Source organism: Homo sapiens, chromosome 5 (assembly GCF_000001405.40).
Source record: "Homo sapiens chromosome 5, GRCh38.p14 Primary Assembly".
Taxonomy (NCBI): Eukaryota; Metazoa; Chordata; class Mammalia; order Primates; family Hominidae; genus Homo; species Homo sapiens.
The window spans coordinates 10,488,656-10,504,402 of record NC_000005.10 but is presented as its reverse complement, the minus strand read 5'-3'; the positions used below and the strand labels follow the sequence as shown (position 1 = coordinate 10,504,402).

The 15,747-nt window shown below is 49.4% G+C and overlaps 1 long non-coding RNA gene and 1 pseudogene across 1 annotated transcript, besides 2 other annotated features; one reads left to right on the top strand and one right to left on the bottom strand.

Moving 5' to 3' along the window:
- Positions 360–1,254: an enhancer, noted in NCBI's record as "H3K4me1 hESC enhancer chr5:10503261-10504155 (GRCh37/hg19 assembly coordinates)". NCBI's record gives its function as "activates a minimal SCP1, AML or CMV promoter by ChIP-STARR-seq in naive H9 embryonic stem cells {active_cell/tissue: H9 hESC(naive)}" and the evidence as "EXISTENCE:reporter gene assay evidence [ECO:0000049][PMID:30033119]".
- Positions 1,675–10,876, top strand: LINC02212 (long intergenic non-protein coding RNA 2212). The gene is made up of 3 exons (NR_104606.1): positions 1,675–3,198; positions 9,090–9,129; positions 10,311–10,876. It is a non-coding gene; the product is annotated as a long intergenic non-protein coding RNA 2212 (long non-coding RNA).
- Positions 14,274–14,323: an enhancer, noted in NCBI's record as "active region_22355". NCBI's record gives its function as "activates an Ori minimal core promoter by ATAC-STARR-seq in GM12878 lymphoblastoid cells {active_cell/tissue: GM12878}" and the evidence as "EXISTENCE:reporter gene assay evidence [ECO:0000049][PMID:35858748]".
- RPL30P7 (ribosomal protein L30 pseudogene 7) lies at positions 15,226–15,651 on the bottom strand (annotated as a pseudogene).

The window sequence follows — 15,747 nt, the reverse complement described above, 5'->3', positions numbered from 1 at the left end:
GACTTAGGGATGTCAGCTGTGATGTCAAGGGTGACTCAGCAGATCTGAGTTGACCAAACCCTGCATACAGCCTTGATCAGCTCCGAAGAGATGACCCCTGAGTCCTTGGAGTGTCCCTCCTGATAAGGGTGGCTTTGTGTATCTGAGGCCTTGGGCCACATCCTTAGTTTATGCCAACAGTGTGATTTATGATGAAAGCCTGTTCACACGTGCCCGAGGCTCTGGGCCATGCTCTATTAATTTCACCTCTGTTGGGCTGAGGTCCAAGTAGCCGAGGTCAGTCACATGGGCACTGCATGCCTATGTGACTGACCCCAATGAAAACCCTGAACACCAGTGCATAGGTAAGCTTTCATGGTGGCTAACACCTCAAGTGTGCCGTGAAACATCGTTGCTGGGGAAAATAAACGCTATCCGTTCAGCCCCGCAGGGCAAGGACACCAGAAGCTTGTGCGAGTTTCTCCTGGACTCCGCTCTATGTTCCTTTTTCCTTTGCTAATTTAAATCTGTATTTTCAAAGTGTAAGCACAAATCTAATAGCCTTTCTTAGTGCTGTGAGTCCTACTAGCGAGTTGCCAAACCCAAAGGTAGTCTAAGGACCCCCTTCACAAGGGTCTCTTTGCACAAAGCTGGAAGCTGAGTTTGCAAAGCACTGTATATAGCACCTAGAGAACCTGCATTACTCAAGTGAAAGAATGGAGGGGGCCAGGCTGAGAGGGGGTCTCGGTGGCGCCCAGGGGTTGCAGCTCTCCTGGGTACTCATGTTGGTCTGTCTGCACCTGGGTGGAATATGGGATGGATAGCCCATGCCCTGGGCCTGGCAGCAAGCCTGCAGCCCTCAGGCCTGGCACCTGCAGCTGTGAGCTCTAGTCCCAGTCCAGTGTGAGCCAGAGGCAGAGCCAAAGGGACGTGTTCTTGGTCACTGGGGGCTGGAACTGATGACAGATGTGCTCTTCCCACACATCCTAACGAAAACAGCTGCGACAATACTTCACGCATGGTGCTGGACACGTAAGGCAACACACACAGCTTGGAAGTGCTGTGTGACTGTGAAAGTGATTTTCCTCCTGCTGTGTACTGAATGGTGTCCCCCCAAATTCATACGCTGGAGCCCTAACCCCCAATGTGACTGTATTTGGAGACAGTACCTTTAAGGAGGGAATGGGGGTTAAATGAGGCTATTAGGGTAGGCCATAATCCACTAGGACTGGGGTCCTTATATGAAGAGGAAGAGACCGCAGGCACGCTGTTGCACAGAGGAAAGGCCGAGGGTGGATGCAGCAGGAAGGCGGCCACCTGCAGCCAGGGAGAGAGGCCTTCGGAGAAACCAGCCTGCACACCTTGGACATCCAGTCTCCAGGACAGTGAGAAAATCACCTGTGTGCTATAAGCCTCCCAGTATGTGGCACTTTCTTAGGTCAGCCTTAGCAAACGAATAGAACTCAGAGATGGACACAGACGGCTCCCAGGTGTTCACCTGGCACTGTAGCCCTCATCTTTGCTCCTGCTGTCGTTTCCGAGGAGCCTGTGGAGCCGGCCGTGCAGTCGTGCAGGCAGTAGTGCTTTGCAGGCTACAACATCTCTCCTGTGGGCCTTCTGGGTGCACACGGAGGTGGAGCCTCCTGGAGCACAGTCATGAGCAGAGCTCTCCTGGCTCCACCTCTGCCTCCCATCAGGGGTGAATAAGGCGGAAGCTGAGGGGACAGTCACAGCCAGGACAGGAATGTCACCCCCAGCTGGCAGACAGCACTCTGAGCAGCCAGGCCTGGGATCCTCTGACCTGCCCACTTCAGGAGGCCAGTGTGGTCACTGCCACCCCACGGTCTGGGGACCCTGGACTCCAAACTTGTAAGTGCTAGAGTGGGCAGCTGGAGGCCATCTGGGCACTTTAAAACACAGGTACTCGGGAACAAACCTCTGATGGGGTGGGTGGGGTGAGGGATGGGGGACCTTGGGTCCCAGGCCCTCTGTGATTTTCTGATGAACTTCCTTCTGTGGGAGCGCTGGCTCAGGGAGCTCCTGGCCTCTCCTCCTCTACCACTTCCTCCGCCACCCGCCTCCACCTGCTCCCGGCCTGATGTCCGCAGGGTCATGTGTGCAGTAGTCCCACGTCCAGGCTCACTGCAGAGGCAGCCCTCTTCAGACAGGAGGCAGAAGAGAGGGCCCCCGCAAGTTAGCTTTTACTTTAATATTATTATGTCATTATGTGTATTATTATTGTCATCAACATCTTTTTATTCTGCAAATACTAATTTCATATCCCATATGGGCAGGCTCTGTGCAAGGTAAATTACTAAGTTTTGTTAATGAAGTCAAACAAAGTCATGGGTTCTATAAGAAGACAACTATTTTAAAATATGGCATAAATGACATTATATAGTTAAGATAGTATAAAGACACGACTTGGAACAAGCAAACGTGGGAACAAGGCAAGGAGAACGTGTAGCTTCCTTTTGGAGTGCTCATACTAATTGCTGATGAAACATTTCTGCACTCGGCAGGGAATCAGTCCACAGCCCCCCTCTGATTAAAATGCGACCCAGCTTGGACTCTGAGAGCAAATGTCCCAGCGACCCTGGGAAGAAGTGATGCAATCCTCTCTTTGCGCTGTTTATCATTTCTGAGAAGCAATGACATAGCTGCCTCTTGCAGTTTGGTCTAATTACTTGTCTGATCTCCCCCAGGGAGAAGCAGCTCTGTTCTCCCTTGGCCTCCAGACAGTGGGGCCCACAGTCTCTACTGGAGGAGTGGGGCCGGCCATCGTGGGCAGGGGAGGTGGAGACCCCTTGAAGCTGATCTGTATTGCAGGGTGTGGAGTAGGGCTGGGGGTTCCTGGGCCTCTAATCTTTAAAATCCAGCAAGAAGGTAGTGTACTGTGAGCCAGGCCCATCATTCTCTTTCCTCCCTGAAACCATCGATGAGTCTTCCCCTAAGGGCTGGAGGGGAGGGTCCCCTTTCTTTGACTTCCCTTGCAGTTCCTCTGATGCTGAAGAGTAGGGCTTGCAGGGACTCTGCCTCCTGCAGGGAGCAGCCACTGTTTCCAGGGACCCTCACAGAAGAGGAGCTAATTTCACACTTTGGGACTCCATAGAAGCCAGCTTCCTGGCAGTTTGAAGTGTGCTTCTCACACATCTTCCACCAGCTTGTTTGTCTGCCTATATCTGAGGATCCTTTAAAGCGATTGAAACAAAATTAAGGGTAAGAAAATTAAAATTTGCTCTGTGCTTGCTATGTGCCAGACACAGTATTTGGCATGATACAGATTTTCATTGACATCAGCTCACTTGGGCAGGTGACTTCACCTCTCCGTGTCTTAGTGTCCTTACCTGTACTGATAAACTAATGGTACTAGCACTTAACCAGAGGGATATTGTGAAGAAAGACTGATGTAATATACATAAAAGACTCAGAACAAATCCTAGGACAGGGAGCATTCAAGAGTGAGGAGCTATTTCATCCTCCTCCTCCCCATCAAGGTAGATATTTAGCCCATTTTACAGATGAAAAGTGGAGGCCCAGGCAATGGAGTCGCCCTCACAAGGACCTCCTGAGGGAAGTGGTACAGCCCCGATTCAACCCAGCCCAGAGTCCTCCTTGACCTCACACCATCACAGCATCTCTCCTATCGGGACCCACAAGCACTTCTGAAACCTGGAAAATAATTACTACCTCCCTGTGTTATCATTGACTTCCAAATTCTTCCACATAGGACAGTGGCTTTCAAATTTCTTTGGTTTGGTTTGTTTTTTTGAGACAGGATCTTTCTCACTCTGTTGCCCAGGCTGGGGTGCAGTAGCATGATCATAGCTCACTGCAGCCTCAACCTCCTGGGCTCAGGTGATCCTCCCACCTCAGCCTCCCAAGTAGCTGGGACTGTAGGTGCATGCCACCACACTTGGCTAATTTTTTAAATTAATTTTTTAAACTAATTTTTTATAGAATGAGGGTCTCACTATGTTGTCCAGAATGGTTTGGAACCCCTGGCCCCAAGCAGTCCTCCCATCTTGGTCTCCCAAAGTGCTGAGATTAGAGGGGTGAGCCACTGTGCCTGGCCAGCTTTCAGTTTTTGATTGCCTCACTTGGAAAGAAATGTTTTATATCACAACCCAGAAAATATACATATAAACATGGAATCAAGATTTAATGACACAGTACTTTCTCTCACTGTGTTCTATGTACCTGGTATTTTTCTAGTAGGTTTTGTGTGTGTGTGTGTGTGTGTGTGTGTGTGTGTGTGTGTGTGTTTTCAGACAGGGTCTCAGTCTATTACCCAGTTTGGATGCAGTGGTGCAATCTCGGCTCACTGCAGCCTCAACCTCCTGGGCTAGCAATCCTCCCACCTCAGCCTCCCAAGTAGCTGGGACTCCAGGCACCCACTGCCACGCCCAGCTAATTTTTTTTCTCTTAGTAGAGACAAAGTCTCACTATGTTGCCAGCTGGTCTCCAACTCCTGAGCTTAAGGGATCCTCCCAAATTCTTGTGATTACAGGCATGAGCCACTGTACCCTGCCCTGTTTTATTTTTAAGCACTGGTTTCAACTGGCCTTGCCTGGCAGTTTGAAAACCACTGGCAAGGTGAAGTGGCCAGTGAGGGGGCAGGTGTCAAGTGTAATCTGCCCTGGGACTGTGTGGCACAGCCTGAGGATCCTGTTCAGACAAGACTCCAAGCACTCCGTCCAGGATACCTGGGCCCAGCTTCCTAAGCACCAGCCCCGCCCCAGGGGAACTGTTCCATCCCCTGCTCTGAGATGCAGTGGGCTCCTAGTGGGCATAGAGGGAGGTTTAGTGAGAAGCGCACCTTCAGGGCCCCCACAATCCACCAGGCTGGATCACCCAGATTCACTGAGGGCGTTCACAGCACCCCCAAAGATGTATTCCTTTAGCATTTGATCATTCAGTCTCCCCTTAAATGGGAGGTGCTCCTTTGCTGTTTGCATGTCAGTGGGGAAGGGTCTCGTGCCATGAGGTTTGGAAACTGACCCTCTTGACTAGAGACCCGCCAGGGCTAGCAAGGTGGAGAGGCGGAAGAAGGGGGGAAAGCAAAGGGAAATGAGTCCTAGGAGGAGCTGCCCTCCAGGCGCCATCCTGACTCGCCAGCCTCAGCTGCGGCTCTTCCCCAACCCCTTCCTCTGCTTCCTGGGTGCACGGCCAGCCTACCCCTCCTGGCTTCACTGTGGCCTGTAGCTGAATTCTGGCCCAGTGAATACGCATGGACAGGATGAGCAGTACTTCCTGGCCTGGCTCCCCACACGCCATGCTCTTCCCCTTCAGCTTGAGACAGGGGAGCATAGGGACCTTGGGACCCACATGGAAGTTTGGAGGGTTCCCACATGGAAGATTGGGGCATCCCACATAGAAGGAGCTCAGGCCCCCAAATCACTGCTTAGATGGACACCAACTGCCCCTCAAGATCACTCATTTTGAACTTCACGTGACCAAAATAAACTTACATTATGTTAAGATACGGAGATTACCCTAACAGGCAAATTTTCAAATTTCTAAACTATCCAAGCTCAAGGAAGTGGAGGAAGGCATTCTAAAATTGAATTTAGCAAAAACTTACTTCAAAACAGGAAAGACTCTATATTGGGTTGAACAGTGTCTTTCCAAAATGTATGTCCACCGGAATCCCAGAGTGAGCCCTTACGTGGAAATAGGGTCTTTGTGAATGCAGTCAAATTTAGATGAAGTCATGCTGGAGGAGGGTCGGCCCTTATCTAGTGATTGGTGTCCTAAAAAAAGAGAGAAATTTGGACACAGAGACACAGACACATGGGGAAAAGGCCACGTGAAAACAGAGGCAGACATTGGAGCTCCAAACTAAAGACACCAGGGGCGCTGTGACTATCAGAATGAGGGGACGCAAGAGCAGCTTCTTCCGGGGAGCCTTGGGAGAGAGGATGGCCCAGCCAGCACCTTGCTTCGGGATTTCTGGCCTTCAGAACTGTGAGAGAATAAATGTGTGTTGTCTTAAGCCACCCAGTTTGTGGCACTTGGTTACAGCAGCCCCAGGAAACCAATACACTCTGAAATCAAAGCTTAGTGTAATTTTTAAAAATTGTACTATTTTTAGCCCAGTTCTGGGCCACGTGCTCTTAGGAAGTGCTAGTCCTGATTCGATGCTTCCAGCTGGAGGAGACCCCTCCTCCCCTCACCCATCCAGAGAGATCACCTTGGGGCCGGGCTACTGGATGACCTCCAGAACAGAGAAACTCTCTGCCCAGGAAGAACAGCATTCTTTATTTTTGAGACGGAATCTGGCTCTGTCACCCAGGTGGGAGTACAGTGATGGATCACGGCTCACTGCAACCTCCGCCTCCCGGGTTCAAACGATTCTCGTGCCTCAGCCTCCCGAGTGGCTGGAACCACAGGCATGCACCACCATGCCTGGCTAATTTTTGTATTTTTAGTAGAGATGGGGTTTTACCATGTTGGCCAGGCTGGTCTTGAACTCCTGACCTCAAGTGATCCACCCACTTTGGCCTCCCAAAGTGCTGGGATTACAAGCATGAGCCACTGCACCGAATAAGGTTCGTCCAGCTGCCAGAAGGGGCCCAGCTGCCCTTGAAAGATGGTGTGGCCCACCCTCTGCCGTGGTCCCCGCCTGAGCCATGACAGGGAGAGGGAGGCCTGGAAGATAAAGACCATGAAGGCAGATGCAGGAATCTCAATTCCTGAGGCTGCTCCCGGGACCCAGCCCAAGTAGGTGGATGCCTGTTTGTCAGCCCAGCCACACTTATAGACCAGAATCAGCCAGCTCCTATCAACTATCAACCTTCACTTCAAGCATTCAGACATACAACAAATCATGCAGCTGATGGCTTCTGAAATCAAATTTGAAAAGGGAAAGCTGTTGTAAACCCATTAGCTGCTAATCAGACCACCTCAAGGAACACTAGGATGAGTGTTTTGTTTTGTTTTGTTTTGTTTTGTTTTGTTTTGTTTTGTTTTGAGACAGAGTCTCACTCTGTCTCCCAGGCTGGAGTGCAGTGGTGCAATCTCAGCTCACTGCAACCTCACCTCCTGGGTTCAAGTGATTCTCACGCCTCAGCCTCCCGAGTAGCTGGGATTACAGGTGCCTGCCACTATGCCCTGCTAATTTTTTAATTTTATTTTTAGTAGAGATGGGGTTTCACCATGTTGGCCAGGCTAGTCTCAAACTTCTGACCTCAGGTAATCCGCCTGTCTCAGCCTCCCAAAGTGCTGGGATTACAGGTGTGAGCCACTGCGCCCGGCCAGATGAGTGTTCTTTACAGAGCAGATGTCTTTTTAAACATGAAGCATCACTCCGTGGAGGAGTATGCTGGAGCTGCAGTAACAAAGTGTCATGAGCAGAGGGGCTTAAACCACAGAAGTGCCTCACCTCGGAGCTCTGCAGGCTGTTAGTCCAAGAGCAAGGTGTCCGCAGGGTTGGTTCCTACTGAGGCTGTGAGAGCAAATCTGCCAGGCCTCTCCTCTAACTTCTGGTGTTGGCAGGGAAAACCTGGGGTTCCTTGGTTTGTAGAGGCAGCACCCTGATCTTTGCTTTCATCTTCACATGGCCTGTTTGTTTGTTTGTTTGTTTTGAGATGGAGTCTCGCTCTGCCACCCAGGCTAGAGTGCAGTGGCATGATCTCCACTAACTGCAACCTCCTCCTCCCAGGTTCAAGTGATTCTCATTCCTCAGCCTCCTGAGTAGCTGGGATTAGAGGCATGCACCACCATACCTGGCGGATTTTTTTTTTGTATTTTTGTTAGAGATGGAGTTTCACCATGTTGTCCAGGCTCGTCTTAAAGTCCCGGCCTCAAGTGATCTGCCTGCCTCGGCCTCCCAAAGTGTTGGGATTACAGGGGTGAGCCACCATGCCTGGCCAGCTTGGAAGTTTTTGAAAAGCTAAACAGACACACACACACACTATTGTGATGCCCCCCAATCCGCCCCAACACATATGCTAAACAGAAACGTGTGTGTTTGTCCGCCAAAAGACATGCAAGAATTTAGAGAGCAGCACTGCTGGTGATTGCTAAAAAGTGAAAACATTTCTAACCTCCATCCTGCAAGGGGAAAATGGGTGAATAAATAGAGGTGTGCTTAAATAATGGTGGAATTCTACTCAGCACTAAAAAAGAGCAAACTCCAGCCTCACGTGGCAATGTGGATGGGCTTAATGAACATCATGCTGAGAGAAAATCAGGCACCAAAAAGAATAGACCATTTCGTTCCATTGACAGGCAGTTCAAAAACAGGCAAAAGGTGTCAGGAGTCAGAATAGTGCTTACCTTTGGGAGGGGATAGCGACTTGGGGGGCTGTGGGATTGAGGGGGCAGTTTCTCTGCTGCTTCTAATATTCTGTTCCTTGATCTGGGTGCTAGTTAGCAGAGTGTGTTCTGTCTGCGAAAATTCCCTGAGCTGAGGTTATGATACATAACATGATAAGATGCATAATATGATATAGAATAGAACATGACATAACAGCTCTCAGCTCTGGCTTCTTTTTGCTTGTAAAATGAAATAATAAGAATACTCACCCTGGCCGGGCATGGTGGCTCACACCTGTAATCTCAGCACTTTGGGAGACTGAGGCGGGTGGACCACCTGAGGTCAGGAGTTTGAGACCAGCCTAGCCAATGTGGTGAAACCCTGTCTCTACTAAAAAAAAAAAAAAAAATACAAAACATTAGCTGGGCATGATGGCACGAGCCTGTAGTCCCAGCTACTTGGGAGGCTGAGGCAGGAAAATCACTTGAACCCAGGAGGCAGAGGTTGCAGTGAGCCAAGATCGCACCACTGCACTGCAGCCTGGGTGACAGAGTGAAGAGTGAGACTCTGTCTCAAAAAAAAAAAAAAATTCATCAGGTGTGGTGTCATGTGCCTGTAGTCCCAGCTACTCGGGAGGCTGAGGCAGGAGAATCGCTTGAACCCGGGAGGCGGAAGTTGCAGTGAGCCGAGATCACGCCAGTGTACTCCAGCCTGGGTGACAAAAACAAAACTCCATCTCAAAAAAAAAAAAAAAATAGAATACTCACCCTGATAGAGTCAATGTGAGAAATAATATAAGTTCCTGGCACATAATAACTGCTCAATAAATGACAGCATTTTTTTTTTCTAGGCAGAATGAATCTTTGGTGATGAAAGTGAGAATCTGGGAGGTAATGATGGCGGCAGGCTGTGGTGGGAGCCTCTGGGGCGCTGCTGAGAGATGGCGCTGGGTGGTGTCATGGGTGTGGACTCACTTTCTAATAATTCTTCCAGCTGGGCACCTGATTCGTGGGCTTTTCTGTGGGCATGTCATACTTCAACACAAAAACAGCTTACCAAAAATGCAAATAAAAGTATCCATTTTGCAGATTATGAGGATTAAAGAGATAAGAAACCTAAAGCATTTAGCATTGTGCCTCCCACAGTTTAAGAGCTCGGTGCCTGTCTGCTGTTGTAGCTGCACAATCATTTATCCAGAAAGCTGTGGGTTTTTGGCATTCGAGTTTGGGGAGCTGTAGGCTGGTAATACAGGACATATCCTGAATATCACTTACTACCCACTGCTGGGTCTGGCCTGCAGATCCTGGCCGAACAACAGATGAACACATGCACTCAGACACAGGTATCCAGTGAAAGAGTGGGCTAGGGGACCAGGCCGCTCACAGACACTGAGGAGGGTGCTGTAAAGAGTCAGCAGCCACGGCCCTGACAAGCTGGCACTGCGGGCATTTATTTAGTACAGATTTAATGACAAAGGCCTTGAGTCAACACACTTGTGGGTAATTTACATGGTCACTCCCCCAGAGAGAGCAGTCCTGCACACAGGCGATTAAAGGCCAGGTTCCGAGGCCTAAGTAAACTAACTTATCTAGATCAGTTTCTTTACATCCCCTTGTTATCTAACCTAAGCTTTCAGGTACCAGATAAGAGAATCTGGCTGCCTTCAGCCCAAATCCTTTTCCAAAGCTTTTGTAAAACCTCCTGGCCTTCCAGGAAGGTTTGCATTCTTTCTACAATTTTTCCCACCACCCTGACCAATCTCCTACAACCCCCCACATGTCTGGACAGTGCCCCCCAGAAAACACAGTATCACTATTCTCACCAATGGATAAAGAAAGTCTATAAATAGTCCCAAGTCCATTCAAATCAATTTTATCCCCAAATGGGTTTTGTCTTCAAATTTACACATAAAAAATGTTCCCAGAGTGTTTTGGATTTCAGAATTGTGGGTAAGGGATTGGGCACCCATATTTTCAACACCATGATGTGCATGACGTCATGTGTTTTCTGCAACTGGAAATTGGATCATTTGTTAGTGGTTCGTTATTGTGTGACATTTCCCATTCTACAGAGATGTGAAAACTGGAAGAGAAACAGGAAGTACCTCCAGGATTCACCTAAATAGATGCTGCGGTTTCTATCAAACCACAGGCCACCCCAGCATCTCAGTGGCTTCTATAGGTTGTCCTGAAAGAGCCATGAGGCCAGGGCCCTTGATGGATTCCCAGATACCAGCTGCTCCTCCAGACACCAATTCCACCCTCCACCTTTCTGTGTCCGTCCCAGACCAAGGCAGCCCAGGTAAGGAGCCATGAGTAGGAGGTTTCCCAGTGGGTAGAGGTGCCAGACTCAGCAGCTAGAAATATAGAATGCTGGGTTAAATGTAAATTTCAGATCAATGATAATTTTTTGGGTAAGTGTATCCCATGCAGCATTTGAAATACAATTTAATCAAATTTAACTAGATGTCCTGCATGTTGTAGGAAACTCTCTAGGAGGTGTGTCTCCAGGATAGAGGGCCAGTGGAGAATGGCAGCCCACACTGTTATGGGATGAAGTGTGTCCCCCAAAATCAACATGTTGAAGCTCTAACCCCCAGAACCCCGGAATAAAACTATATTTGGAGTTAAGATCTTTAAAGAGGTAATTATGTCCTAATGAGTTATTTAGGGCAGACCCTAATCCAATAGGACTGGTATCCTTCTAAGAAGAGGAAGGCACATCAGAGGAGAGGCCATGTGAGGACACCATGGGAAGGCGGCCACCTGCAAGCCAAGGAGAGGGGCCTCAGGAGAAACCAGCCCTGCTGACACCCTGAGCTCCTTGCAATTCCAGCCTCCTAGACTGTGAGAAAATACACTTGTGTTATTTAAGCCCCCCAGTCTGTGGTTCTTTGCTGTGGCAGCCCTAAGAATCTAATACACATGCCAACCTGTCTAGGCACAGATGGCCCATCTTCAGGGAAAGGATGCAGGGGGATCTGCAGGCCTGCCGGGGCTGAACCAGGAAGTTGTGCCCTCAGCAGTGGAGGCAGCCTCTCCCAACCCCAAGCCTCCAGCCCCTCCCCTCGTGACATGCATGTTCTGAGTTCAGTCTGTTTCCAAGCTCCTTCCCGTGCCTGTGGAGTCAATGTCACCCCCAGTCTCAGGGTATCCTTGCACTGATACGCTCCACTACACCCTCACACCCACCCCGTGGCTTCCTGAACTGCACCCCCAAGTGAACCACTCTGCATCTGGCTTCTCCATCAACCACGTGCCCTGGAGTCCCTCTGAGCTGTCCATGTGGGCAGCCTCCTTTTGAAGCCTGGAGTGGGTGAGTGTTGAGCAAAAGGTGATGGCAGGGGCTAGAGCTCATTTCATTCCTGAGTAAGGGAAGCTCTAAGATTCCTTCTGTACCATAAGTGAGTGCTGCCCTGCCTGGGAGGGTGCACACCCTGCCCTGAGACTACTGCCTCAGAGCATGGGCAGCTGGTCAACCTAGGCATTGCCCATGCCTCCCACATGGGTGGGGGGCAGCCCCACCGCCCCTCTGTTCATCTTCCATTGACCTGTGGAGTCTCAGAGATCTGTCTTGATTTTTTTTAGACAGTCTTGCTCTGTCACCCTGGAGTACAGCGGTGCAATCTCTGCTCATTGCAACCTCTTCCTCCCAGGTTCAAGTGATTATCGTGCGCCAGCCTTCCAATTAGCTGGGATCACAAGCATGCACCACCATGCCCTGCTAATTTTTGTATTTTTAGTAGAGACAGGGTTTCGCCATGTTGGCCAGGGTGGTCTCAAACTCCTAACCTCAAGTGATCCACCTGCCTCGGCCTCCCAAAGTGCTGGGATTGCAGGTGTGAGCCACCACACCCAACCTGTCTTGATTTAATAGTCATTCAAGGTGCTCATTTCTTGACTGAATGACTACAAGAGCAGATATAAATGAACACATGCAATCAGTCTTGCCCTGGGTCTGAAGTAGGATTCTCAGCACCAGCGACATTTGCACTGGATCATTCTCTGCGGTGGCACTAGCCTCTGCCCTGCAGGACGTTTAGCAGTACCCCTGGACCCCACCCACTAGACGCCAGCAACAGTTCCCTGCCCCAGTTGTGACAACCAAAAATGTCCTCGGACATTACTCCAAGCACCAAGGTTGGGAACCGCTGTTCTCAAGGTTTCCAAATGCATCTCACGCCATAGGTCTATGCACAGAATAAATGAATCATTCACTGTTGACCAATGAAGGCTTTGTTTGGAGACAGGTGTTATAACAGCAGGAAGAAAACTCCCCAAAGGAAAAGTGTGCTATCAGCTGAAGCATCTCCCAAGTCCAGCTCTGCACCCCCACGTGCATCCCCACACGAACGTGTTGCCAGGAATCAACCGAACCCCTGTTTCTCTCGCAGAAAATTGGTGGGAGCAATCCTCGCTTGCGTGTCAGGATGCCTGTCCAGGTGAAGCCAGCATGAGTCTCTCCAGATTCTAAGGCAGTGATGGGAAAGTGAAGGAAGCAGAAATGGCCAAGGGCCATCCTCTGTCAGTAATTCACTCTGTCAGCCCTCCCTAAGCCGGGTGGTGGGTGTTATGCATCAGGACGCCGGGCTCTGGTGGGGTAATGAGAGGGACTCATAAGTGGCCAAGCTGTGACTCAAACCTGGCAGGACTCCCACTGGCTTCACTCTGCCCTCTTAAATTCTACAATTAGAGCTCCCCAGGAGAGAGCAACCCATTGACTTAAATGTTCACTCACCTGTAAACAGGTGACATGAGATTTTCTCCCATTCGTGGGTTTCCTGATGTCAGGATGGAGCACAGAGCAGGGGCCGTCGGGCACCTATAGGCTGAAGGGAACCCTGGGTAGAGGATAGTGTACGTTTGTTTCATGATGTTGCCAGGAGCTGGCCCTTTGCTGTAAACCAGGTCCTGTTTTGAGCGTGCTGGGAAGTTCAGAAGCAGAGTTCCATAGACACTTCTGAGATGCACAGGCACCTCTCCTGCCTAATGTGGCCAGGAAAAATTGCCCTGATAAAGCCAATGACATCATAGATTAGAACCTGAGGAACCCGCAGCCTAGTAGTTCCCGATCTTGCTGCCTATTAACATCACGGGGACGCCTTTCAGAGCTCCCCAGGTGATGTTAATGGCAGCAAAATCAAGAACCACTGTGAATAGGCAGCAATCGATGTCCAGGCCACTCCCCACCAACTAAATCAGGGTCTCCAGGATGGGCTCATGCCTCCACGGTTCCTGGTTCCCCAGGTGCAACTGCGACCTCCCTCAGTGATCCAGTGTGGGCTTCTCACACTTTAATGCACATCTGAACGAATCGGGGCTCTTGTGAAAATTTGAATTCTGGCTCAAGAGGCTGGGATGAGCCTGAGATTCTGCTAGGAGCTAGGAAAAGTGTGATCCAGAGCTAGGAAAAGTGTGATCTTGGATGCTTGTCATCTGGGAGCTTGTTAGAGGTGCAGGATCTCAGGCCCCACCCAGAACCTAAGGATCAGAATCTACATTTGAATAAGGTGCAGGTTTGTTGAATATACGTCCCTAGTTTGAGACAACCTGCTACAACCTGAAGCCTCTATTTGCTCATGAGCAAGTGAGGGCCAGAGAGATGGAGCCCTGGACCCCACAGCTACTCAATGCAAAAAGCTTTAGTAACTGTGCTTGCTGTAACCCACGCGTCTTCTTCCCACCATTGCTAGCCTCACTAAAGATTGCATTTGTTTCTCTGACAATGATGACTTCAGGCAATGTATAAAACTTGCTCCTCCTGTTAACATTTAATTCAGGCGTGAAACCAAACAAACCCAAAAATGGAGGAAGGAAAGAGAAGAAATGGGGCTAAAAAAGATCTAAAAATGGGACAGAAGCAAGGTGCCTTTTTCATCTTCTCTTTGATTAAAAAAGGTCTGTTAGCTCGAAGCCCACAGGTATGTGACTCAGTGCAGACGAGGGGAAACTCCGTGGGAAGTTTTGGATCTTTCCTATTAGAAGAATCAGGAATTTAGCCCAGCTCAGGGAAAACATATGAGCTTCCTTTGACTCTCCCAGGATGAGCTAGTTTCAGTATCATGGTGAAAAAATAAAATAATACAAAGGCGTTCACCAAAAGGAAGTGCTGTTTCCTCTATTTCTGAACCCTCAGAGAGCTAAAATGATGCTGATGAGTCAGAAGCTAGCGCCCCTGAAGGAGCCACCAAAGGAAGATACTGAGCTTTTAATGTTTCCTTAAAGGGCAGCCCTAACCCCTCCCAGTGCGGAGCTGATTTTTGGAAATAGCCAGAAGTGGTTTCAAGTCACATCAGGTGATTGAGGTGGGTGACCAAACTCAGCACGATGTTAGAAACAAATCCAAATGTGACAATAAGTGGCACTCCTTGTTTATTTATTTTGAGACAGTGGTCTCGCTCTGTCACCCCCCTGGAGTGCAGTGGCATGATCATGGCTCACTGCAGCCTCCACGTCCCAGGCTCAAGCCATCCTCCCACCTCAGTTTCCCAAGTAACTGGGACTATAGGCATGTGCCACCATGCCCAGCTAATTTTTTTATTATTTATTTTTTGTAGAGACGAGGTCTCACTATGCCGCCCAGGCTGGTCTCAAACTCCTAGATTCAAGTGATCCTCCCACCTCGGCCTCCCAAAGTGCTGGGATTACAGGCATGGGCCACTGCACCGGCCCTGGTTTCTTCATGTGGGATGTCACCCGGCTCTAAAAGGCAGTTTCTTATAAAAGTCCCAGCTGCAGCTTGAGCAGGAATAGCTGCATGGACAACAGAGTGGAGCTTCTCAACCTCCTTTGAAGGGCAAAAGTGGGTCTGATGGGCTGTTCGAAGCGGGTCCCTGAGGGTCGCATTCCTTGCATCCAACTCCCACCTCCTTCCTTCCTTCCCCTCCCTCCCTCGTCTTTCTTTCTTTCTTTCCTTCTTTTCTTTCTTTCTTTCTTCTTTCTTTCTCTCTCTCTCTGTCTCTCTCTCTTTCTTTTTCTTAACAAGCTCAGGCAAATTTTATTAAAGGAAAATTTTGCATGGTTTGCTTTTCACCAATCTGTTCTGGCATGCTTCTAATGATGTCAGAATCACCTAGATCAATGATAGCCGGTGTGCCCACTCTGTAATATTTTCCGCATGCTGTGCCCAGTTCAATATTATTGCCACCGTAGTGATGGACACCAGTTTTGGCCAACATTCCATAGCTGGGTGGTTGTTAGTGAGAATGATCAATTTTGCTTTGCCTTGTCTAATCATCTTCAGAGTCTGCTTGTACCCCAGCTCATACTTTCCACTTTTCATAATGAGTTGGAACCTACAGTTGATCGACTCCAGGAGCTTTTTCTTCTTCTTTGCAGCCACCAAATTCCCGCCTTAGCTGCAGGACGGACCCCAACCAAGAGCAGCCGCTAAGATGGCCGGGGAGTGAGAAAAGCCTCATTTCTTTAATAAAGGTGATTGCCCATTTTCAGACACAGGATAGGGGATTATTGAGGGTGCCACCAAGGAGAAGGGGGTCACCACCTGAG